The sequence below is a fragment of the Homo sapiens genome, chromosome 12 (genome assembly GCF_000001405.40).
Source record: "Homo sapiens chromosome 12, GRCh38.p14 Primary Assembly".
NCBI lineage: Eukaryota > Metazoa > Chordata > Mammalia > Primates > Hominidae > Homo > Homo sapiens.
The window spans coordinates 12,802,389-12,812,963 of NC_000012.12; the positions used below are offsets into that span (position 1 = coordinate 12,802,389).

General features: G+C 45.6%; 2 annotated features.

The window, feature by feature from the left end:
* Positions 510–1,010: an enhancer, noted in NCBI's record as "H3K4me1 hESC enhancer chr12:12955832-12956332 (GRCh37/hg19 assembly coordinates)". NCBI's record gives its function as "activates a minimal SCP1, AML or CMV promoter by ChIP-STARR-seq in primed H9 embryonic stem cells {active_cell/tissue: H9 hESC(primed)}" and the evidence as "EXISTENCE:reporter gene assay evidence [ECO:0000049][PMID:30033119]".
* Positions 1,541–2,740: an enhancer, noted in NCBI's record as "P300/CBP strongly-dependent group 1 enhancer chr12:12956863-12958062 (GRCh37/hg19 assembly coordinates)". NCBI's record gives its function as "activates an origin of replication core promoter dependent on BRD2, BRD4, P300/CBP, MED14 and CDK7 cofactors, with strong dependence on P300/CBP, by STARR-seq in HCT116 cells {active_cell/tissue: HCT116}" and the evidence as "EXISTENCE:reporter gene assay evidence [ECO:0000049][PMID:35650434]".

Here is a 10,575-nt window from a genome sequence, read left to right on the forward strand (position 1 = left end):
ATTTGGCAGAGGCACTGACAGGACATCTTCAAGAACAAGAGGGAAGGCAGATAGGTGATAAGACGGGCAGTGGAAACTTGTGGAAGTTTTTTTTATTTTTTCACTGAAATAGGAAGCAAGGCCATAGGCTGAGAGTGACAACGGGAGAGGGTGCACTGGAAGGCTGAGCAGAGTTGTTTGGGAAAGTGGGAGAAAGATGCAGTAAGGAAACGCACAGGCTTACCAGGCAGCACGAAGGAAAGGCTACCACAGAGGGACAGTTTGGTGAGTAGGTTTTCATAACGTGTGATCGGGAGGCTGAGGTGGGAAGATCAATTAAGCCCAAGAGTTTGAGATAAACCTGGGCAACATAGTGAGACCTCATCTCAAAAAAAAAAAAAAAAAAAAAGATCAGGCTGGGCCATGGTGGCTCACGCCTATAATTCCAGCACTTTGGGAAGCTGAGACGGGTGGATCACCTGAGGTCAGGAGTTTGAGACCAGCTTGGCCAACATGGGGAAACCCCGTCTCTACTAAAAATACAAAGATTAGCTGGGTGTGGTGGTGCACACCTGTAATTCCAGCTACTCAGGAGGCTGAGAAAGGAGAATTGCTTGAACCCAGGCGGCGGAGGTTGCAGTGAGCTGAGATTGTGCCACTGCACTCCAGGCTGGGCCACAGAGTGAGGCTCCATCTCAAAAAAAATAAAAAATAGATCAGAGAAGTATAGTTTTTTTTTCCTTTAGAAGCTGTTAGCGTTCTTAGATGCAAACAGCAGAACCTCTTCTAGTTAAGCAGAGAAGGACTTTATTAAAGTCTGTTAGGAAGCTCACAGAATCTCCAAGAAAGCAAAAGTCAGGCTCAAGGGCAATGCAGCCAGGAACAACACCTGCAGCCTGTTGTGAGATCACCACTCCAGCAGAAACCCCACTGCTGCTGTTGCTAGGCTAGGGCATCTCATACTGCACGCCTGGCACGGGCACTGGACATCACAGCCTTTGTGCTATTGCCCCTTAAGCAGGACACCTCTGCCAATGCCTGTGTCTACTTCCTTGCATGACTCATGTCTGAACTAAGCTCTGGTGTGGGTGTGTCTGTTTGGCAGAGGCCAAGTCATGTGTCTGGGACCCAGGTGCAAGGGAGGGTGGAGAGTGAGTTTCTGGTTTCTCCTTCAAGGAGGTGAACTTAGAATGGGAGAAATTTGCCAATCATTGGAAAAGATAATTAAAAGATGTTGGGTTATCATCAAGCATGAGAAATGTCCAGGATAGCAGTTAACGTTTTATTTATTTTAAACATTTAGATTTCAAACTTACTATATGAAATTCACATGCTTCTATTTTGAGTGTAGCTGGAAGCTGCTGTGTATTATACTCATTATTTCACTGTGGCCATGGTATCAGGATTGCCAAGGAACTTTATAAATACCTCCATTTCTAGTAATTTTTTTTTAATTGTGTATACATTTAAGGCTGGGTATGATGGCTCATGCCTGTAATCCTAGCACTTTGCGAGGCTGAGGCAGGCAAATCACTTGAGGCCAGGAGTTTGAGACCAGCCTGGCCAACGTGGAGAAACCCTGTCTCTACTAAAAATACAAAAAAAATTAGTGCGCGCCTGTAATTCCAGCTACTCAGGAGGCTGAGGCACGAGAATCTCTTGAGCCCGGGAGGTGGAGGTTGCAGTGAGCTGAGATCGCACCACTGCACTCCAGCCTGGGTGACAAAGTGAGACTGTCTCAAAAAAAAATTGTGTATACATTAAAAAAAACCTCACTTGTATGAAGGGAATACAAGGAAACCAGGAAATGACTCAAAGCTGCCCTTTCCTTTACTACCTGGCCCATAGCATGAACTGACCTTGAAACCCTAGCCTCCGTGGCTTTCTACGTAAGATTGTAACATAGCATTTGAATTTCCTGCTTATTGTTGACTGTAGGTTAAACTCGTTCCTTATAAATTTTATTTGCATTATGGAACATCATTTGTCCTCTTCAGTTTAGTTCTCAGTCTGAGACACCAGATTTTTTTGGGAGCACTAGACATAAAAATCTGTTATTCCTAGTGGGTCTAGGAGCTCAAGGGGTCAAACGGCAGGTTTGGTAGGAAAGTTGGCTTTTCTGCCACCCTCCAACCCCAGCCCCTCTGTGCTGCTCCTAACCACTGCCTACGGGCTGGTGTCCACCGTGGAAGTGGCCACAGCTTTATTAAATTACCACACTCCTAGGTCGGTTTCTCTCTCTCTCTTTTTTTTTTTTTTTCCCCAGATTCAGAAACTCCCTATGACCCCTATGATTAGTAAATAAATAGGCTCTGGGGATTTATTCATGCTAAGCACACTCACAGGTGACTAATCTACAAACCAGTCTCACTCACCCACTGGGCAAGTATTTTCTGAATTCCTATTCTATGCTAGGCAATGGGAAGTGCATTAGTGCACAGCACAGACGTGTTCTAGTCACTGTTCTGGTAACCCTTGCTGTCGGGTGGGAAATCAAACAACAGTAAAATTCATTTTGAACTATGATGGTAGTGATGGAAAAGGAAGAGAAGTAGTGGGACTCCAGATGAATTTTGGCAGCGGAGTCTATAAGACTTGCTGATGTGGAGCCTGCAGGAAAGAAACAGGTGAGATGAAGAAGATGGAGAGAAAAGAAAGTGTTGGGGAGAAATCCACATGCTAAAGTTTTCATGTTGATTGGGAGATATGGCTAAGTTGAGTCTCAAAACAAACTACCCACAGAAGAGACACCCCTTGAAGTGCATAGACTATGCAGGAGACAAAACAAATTGGCTTAAGCTAATTGAAAATGTTACGAGCCTATCACCGATATTTCCACTTATCATACTGGGGATAGCATAGTGACAATGTAGTATCAACAGACTTGGGGCCGGGCATGGTGGCTCACACCTGTAATCCTAGCACTTTGGGAGGCTGAGGCGGGAGAATCACTTGAGCTCATAGATTCGAGACCAACCTGGGCAACCCAGTGAGACCTCGTCTTGATAAAAACAAAAACAATAACAAACCAGGGCCGGGCATGGTGGCTCACACTTGGCCCAGCACTTTGGGAGGCTGAGGTGGGCGGATCACGAGGTCAGGAGATCAAGACCAGTCTGGCCAACACAGTGAAACCCCGTCTCTACTAAAGATACAAAAATTAGCTGGGCGTGGTGGCAGGTGCCTGTAATCCCAGCTACTTGGGAGGCTGAGGCAGGAGAATTGCTTGAACCCGGGAGACCGAGGTTGCAGTGAGCCGAGATCACGCCACTGCACTCCAGCTGTGCGACAGAGCTAGACTCCATCTCAAAACAAACAAACAAACAAACAAAAAACAAAATAGAATCCCCCAAAGCCCACACTAGGGATGGATGGCATGGGAGGGTGATAAGAGAGAGCTCTGGACCGGACTCCTGAGTGTAGGTCCTGGTTCCTACTACAGCCACTACCTTCTGAACATGACCTCTTACCTTCCACATATTTGCCCCTCCTCCAGTGTTTCCTAGCTGTGTGAATGGTTCTGCCACTTTGCTACCTGCTGAAGCCAAAAATCTGGGAATCCCCGACACATTCCTGGCTTTCACGTTCCATGTTAAATCAATCATGAGGATTTATCTAACCTGTATACACCCTTTAAGTGTCCACTGTTCTCCAACCCCATCGTCTCCTCTCTGCTCCAAAACGCCATCATCTTTTGCTCAAACAGCTGCTAGCTGATCTTCCTGCATCCCACTCCACTATCCAAACCATTCTCCACTGCGGCTGAGTGAGGAATCTTTTCAAATGCTTCTATGCTGAAATTTCTTCCACGGCTATTCATTGTCCTTAGAATAAAGTCCCACATCCCCAGATCCTTAACCTGCTCTATCACGTCCTAGTCAGGTCCCTAACTGTACTTCCAGCTTTATCATAAATCGCTGCCTTATAATTTCTATAACCATCATTTGATTTTTTCCACTGTAGGGGCTTAACTTGGAAGATTCTTTCTATCTGTAGACCACTCCCTACACCCCACGCAGCTAGTAAGTGCTGCCCAACTTTCAAGTCTCAGTTTAAAAGTCACAGGAAAGAGCGATCATGGTGGCTCATGCCTGTAATCCCAGCACTTTGGGAGGCCGAGGTGGGCAGATCACCTGAGGTCAGGAGTTTGAGACCAGCCTGGCCAACATGGTGAAACCCCGTCTGTACTAAAAATACAAAAATTAGCCAGGCGTGGTGGTACGTGCCTGTAATCCCAGCTACTTAGGAGGCTGAGGCAGGGGAATCGCTCGAATCTGGGAGGCTGAGGTTGCAGTTAGCCGAGATCTCGCTACTGCACTCCAGCCTGGGCAACAAGAGCGAAACTCCATCTCGAAAACACAAACAAACAAATAAGCAAACAAACATTAAAAAAAAGAAAATGTTTCAAATTAAAAGCCAAAAGAAAAAGAAATCAACAAATAACAAGGACTAGTTATTTTTTCTCTCTCGACGAGAATTGGTTAGATAACTAAGTAAATTGTACTTGAACTGTCTCTTTTCTAGATTTTATGTAGACTGCTGTCTTCTCTCTCTGCCTGCATTATTACATCATCTGTGTATGTCCTTTCTTCATCTGAACATACATATTCATAACAAGTTACCACTCACAAGTCTAAAGATAATTTCCTGACTGATTACATTTTGCATGGGCTCCTTCTTGAATAAAGGGCACTTTGTCATAAGTGAGCTAGCTTCCTCCAAAATAGACTTCTGGGTATGCAACTTCTCGGCCATTTCGTGTGGAAACTGATAACCAGTTTTTGTTTGAGTCCTCCACAGAACTCTTGTCCCTAAGTTGGGGGCTCACTTTACTTTTGCACCAGGAACCACCAACATCCCAGCCTGCTCACCTCCACAGTGGTCCTGGGTTCCTGGCCTGGGCAGGCTTCCTCCACGTTCCTCACACCCTTCCCTTATCTGTGGGGTGCCGTAGACAGAATGCCTAGAGCCACAATGCTTTTACATATCTCCAAAAACAGGTTTTCATTTCTTTCAAAATCAAAAGAAGGCCAGGGCAGGGCGCGGTGGCTTATGCCTGTAATCCCAGCACTTTGGGAGACTGAAGCAGGTGGATCACTTGAGATCAGGAGCTTGAGACTACCCTGGCCAACATGGTGAAATCCCACCTCTACTAAAAGTACAAAAATTAGCTGGGCATGGTGGCACGTGCCTGTAGTCCCAGCTACTTGGGAGGCAAAGGTTGCAATGAGCTGAGATCATGCCACTGTCCTCCAGCCTGGGCAACAGAGTGAGACCTCATCTCAAAAAAAAAAAAAAAGGAGGGGGGGCCAGGTGGCTCACACCTGTAATCCCAGTGCTTTGGGAGGCCGAGGTGGGAGGATCACTTGAGTCCAGGAGTTCAAGGTTGCAGTGGCACAATCAGAACTCACTGTACTCCAGCCTGGGCAACAGAGAGAGCCTGTTTCTAAAAACTAAAAAAAAAAAAAAAATTTGTTAACTCGGAGAACAAGTTTTAATACATAACATTAATATATTTATCTGTATACTAATGCAGTTGTAAAATATAATTTTTAATACTTTTTTGTGGAAGAAGAGGTGCATGAAGGCAAAGGAGTCTGGGGCTCATGAAAACCTTTGAGTAAGATGGGGTCAGGCCCTTCGACCTCTCCTTCTGGAGCCCATATATTGTTTCGGGCTTGCTTTTCCTCCCTCATCATTTAGAGTGTTTATTTAGATTTCCTCTTTAACCTTTCTCATTGTTCTGAAAGTACAGGATATGACGTGGCTCAGTGACTAGAATGGACCTCTATTATTTCCATTCCCAGAGTATAAATATCCAAACTGCTTCAACCTGATAGGAATAGTCAAAAGCAGACAATCATCTCGGCTACTGCAGGCTTTCCTCTTTGGAACCCACCTATGGTCATCCTGTCAGTCTGACATGAATCTGGTCACTGGGGTAGGTGCTGTTCCAAGGCCCAAACTTTGCTGGCAGGAACAGACTAAAGAACTGAGCAGCGCTGACGCTGCTGTCACTGCATGCCACATCCTCTTCACGGCCCTCGATACCCTGGGGACACTGACACCAGAGGAAGTTTTAAAAACAGCCTGTGTCTGAATTATCCAAGAACAAACAGAAAAGACTTGCTTGGCTAAAATCAACAGGGTTTGATGTTACAACTGCAGTTGAAAGGCTTAAATCGGTTCTCTTTAAAGCAGCAGGCACCCCCAGACATCTTATGGGTGATTCCTTTTCTTTTCTGTAACGCATTCGAACAAAACTCAGGTAACTTTAGAAGGTATATGATATGCAAATTTATAGACCTTCCAGTTGTTTCCATCTGAGTCCCCTTTTCAGGCTTTTTATCTCTGCTTCCCCTTGCTCCCCAATCAGGATCCTCTCCTCTCAGCTCTTCTTTCCCATTCCACTCTCCTAAATGCAATCACAGGATGAGTCAAGGGGAAGCAAAATAAATACTGCAGCTGCTTTCTCTCTTTGTTTTTACAGAAAAGTCTGTGTGGCTGCTTTTGAAGAAGAAAGCTGCTTTCGATTATGTAAGATGATGCTCTCTTTGGTAAAAGTTTTGGTCTGGTCTCAAGAGACTTGGCTTTTTTTTTTTTTCTTTTTGAGACGGAGTCTTGCTCTGTTGCCCAGGCTGGAGTGCAGTGGCATGATCTCGGCTTGCTGCGACCTCCACCTCCCAGGTTCAAGCAATTCTCCTGCTTCAGCCTCCCGAGTAGCTGGGATTACAGGCTCACAATACCACACCCAGCTAATTTTTGTATTTTTAGTAGAGACGGGGTTTCACCATGATGACCAGGCTGGTCTTGAACTCCTGACCTCAGGTGATCCATCTACCTCAGCCTTCCAGATTGCTGGCATTACAGGTGTGAACCATTGCCCCCAGTCTAAGAGGCTTGGCTTCTATTCTTGTCTCTTGTGATCTTTACTCTTTCTTTACTCTTGTGTCTCTTTACTCTCTGGGACTAGAGTTCCTCCTCTGTCAAAAGAGGAATACAAACTCCCCAGCCGGTCTATGTAACAGAGAAGAGGAAGAGGAAGAGCCCAATTTAGCTGGGTAGATTCTCTTTGGGAGAAGTTGACTTCCCCTTATCCCAAAGCATATGTATTGACTTTGGAGACCATCTAGAGTGGCCCAATTCCAAGTCATAGGAGAATGAGATGGTAGCCATGAGGAGGGCTAAATAGAGAGATGGAATGCCTTAGACTGGGCTAGCATAATTGTATGCCTGTGACTGCCCAATAGAATCAATTTCAGGGTGACCTGTTGTCTTATGCAGTGTGTATTTTCTCTCCTTTCCTGTAACTTGGAGTGAACTAATGTAAAAAGACCAAAGTCCCCAGCCTATTCTGCAGCAGTGTAATCTTTTTTTACTACATATATATGTGTATATATATATATATATACATATATATATAAAATTAAAAAATATATATTTTAGACAGAGTCTCACTCTGTTGCCCAGGCTGGTGTGCAGTGGCACGACCTCGACTCACTGCAACCTCTGCCTCCCAGGTTCAAGCTATTCTCCTACCTCAGCCTCCAAAGTAGCTGGGATTACAGGTGTCCGCAATTATGCCTGGCTAATTTTTGTATTTTTAGTAGAGACAGGATTTCACCATGTTGGCTAGGCTGGTCTTGAACTCCTGACCTCAAATGATCCACCTGCCTTGGCATCCCAAAGTGCTGGGATTATAGGTGTGAGCCACTGTGCCCGGCCAGGAATGTAATCTTAAATATGGAAAAACCTCACTCCCTAAAAAACAAAGAGTGAAGTCCTCTCTGGTCTGCTATGGTTCCTGATCCCAATGCTTTGCTGTTTTACTTCAGCCAGGCAGCATTTCCAGAGCATCCACTTCTTGCCAGGGCCTGTGCTTAGAGCCAGGGGTATGAAGATCATCCCTTGTCTCTTAGATTGTTGGGGACCAGCCTCAACACCACCCGTAGGGTACCCAAAGTCCGGTGGCAACAAAGGAATGAGAAGAGACAGGTTAAGAGTGCATAAAGAGTGGGGGCCGGGGGGCCAATTGCAAAATGGAGGCTGCAAAAGGCCCAGAGTTCTGGTCTTCACTCTATTTATTGAGTACAATCCCTTAGATCTAAGAAGCAGATGTTTAGGGTGAAACAGTGAAAGGGAGGCAGTATGTCATAGGCGTAATCTATAGCAATGGCTGTTTAAATGAGTCTCCTTTGTTCTCAAACAGCATATCTTTAACTTATCGAAGAGTAGCTAGTGGGAGTGGGCTTAACTAGGAGCCTGAACGTCTGTCCACATTTCAATGCTTCAAAGGAGTGTCTTTCTCCTTGAACACAGTGTTTATAGATAAGAGAGCAGGTTGCGCTCAGAGCATGGGAACATAATGGCGATAAGAAGGCTTTCCTCCTCAGAGGCCTTTTGTGACTTGCCACAACTTATTGTCCCATATTTTTATGGCCCGTTTATGCAGGCACCCCACAAGCCCTTTTCCCAACATAGATCAGGGGTCCCCAGCCTCTGGGCCATGGACTGGTGCCAGTCCGTGGCCCGTTAGGAGCTGAGTTGCACAGCAGGAGGTGAGTAGCAGGTGAGCAAGCATTACTACCTGAGCTCCGCCTCCTGGTAAATCAGCTGCGGCATTAGATTCGCTTGGGAGCACAATCCCTATTGCAAGGGATCTAGGTTGCGTGGTTCTTATGAGAATCTAATGCCTGGTGATCTGTCACTGTCTCCCATTACCCCCACATGGAACCATCTAGTTGCAGGAGAACAAGCTCAGGGCTATCACTGATTCCACATTATGGCAAGTTGTACAATTATTTCATTATATATTACAATGTAATAATAATAGAAATAAACTGCACAATAAATGTAATGTGCTTGAATCATCCTGAAACCATCCCCGCCCCAATTCTGTGCAAAAAATGTCTTCCACGAAACCAGTCCTTAGTGCCAAAAAGGTTGGGGACCGCTGTCTTAGATGGTCTCCTTTTCTCACTCTTTCTACAGCCTATCTCCATATAGAGTTAGAGTAATATTTTAAATGTGTAGATCATGTCTCTTCCCTGCTCTAAACCCCCAGTGGCTTCCTTCTGCATTTAGGATAACATCCAAAACCCCAGACCTTTTACAACAGGGTCCTGCAGAGTCTGAGCTGAGCCCAATTCTCTGACCACATCCTACCCTTTTTGTTGTTGAGACACTGCTGTGATGCCTAAATCAGGGCCCTTTTTTAGTTGTGGTGGTGGGGAGGTCGGCAGGCACATTGAGTTGAGTTCCTCACAATTCTCAGGTCAAGCACACTGGCATCACAAGTCTCCTCTCTTGCTTTGTGTATTTATTATCCTTTTTTTTTTTTTTTTGAGACGGAGTCTTGCGCTGTCACTCAGGCTGGAGTGCAATGGCATGATCTCAGCTCACTGCAACCTCCGCCTCCGGGGTTCAAGCAATTCTCCTGCCCCAGCCCCCCGAGTAGCTGGGATTACAGGCACAGGCCACCATGCCTGGCTAATTTTTGTGTTTTTAGTAGAGACTGGATTTCACTATGTTGACCAGGCTGGTCTCGAACTCTTGACTTCAAGTGATCCATCTGCCTTGGCCTCCCAAAGTGCTAAGATACAGGTGTGAGCCACCGCGGCCGGCCTATTGTCTTATACACTTAATTCTTTTATTCCCAATTCCCAGTTTTATTCTAATTCTTCTCCCTCTGCAGGCAACCATTCTAAAATATTTCAAGTGTATCTTCTGTTGGATGTGTTTTAGCAGAATGTGATATCTGTGGGCCTATATTTTAATATACTTGATATATTTTATGCTTTTCTCACTAAGCACTAGGTTTTTCAGATCTAATCATATTGTTAAGGGCATGTTTGTAGACACCATGTTCACATTTTAACTATGCATTTTCCCAGTGACGGACACCAGATTGCCCCCAACTTCCCATCCTCAGGAATAAAACTGCAACGAGCACCCTGCGCAGTGTGAGACCCAAGTGACAGGCCACAGGAGGGCACTCGCTGGCCATGGGGCATGCAACATACAGCTCTGAATTTGCTGCTTTCCAGAATAGCCTTAGTAGCTTCACAGTCTTGGTACTTGGAATTCTCTCACTCTGGAATGATTATCTCCTGGGATCTTAAAGCGTTTTCTCCTGCTCAACAGTGAGGTCTTAACTCAAATATCACTGTCTCAGAGAGGCCTTCCCAATCTCACAGTTATCCCCACAACCCACCCTCCCCAGGTTACTCTGTAATTTTTATGTGAACAGGGTTTCACTCTGTTGCCCAGGCTGGAGTACAGTAGCACCATCTCCACTCACTGCAGCCTCAACTTCCGGGGTCAACTGATCCCTCAACCTCAGCCCCCTGAATAGCTGGGATTACAGGCGCATGCCACCATGCATGCCTGACTGATTTTTGCATTTTGCAGACACAGGGTTTCGCCACGTTGCCCAGGCTGGTCTCGAACTCCTGGGCTCAAGTGATCCGCCCGCCTCGTCCTCCCACAGTGCTGGGGTTACAGGCGTGAGCACACCCAGCTACTTTTCACAATTTGAAATGCTCTGTGATAGCTTATTTATGATCTGTCTTCTTTTTCTTCACGAGGGCAGGGGTC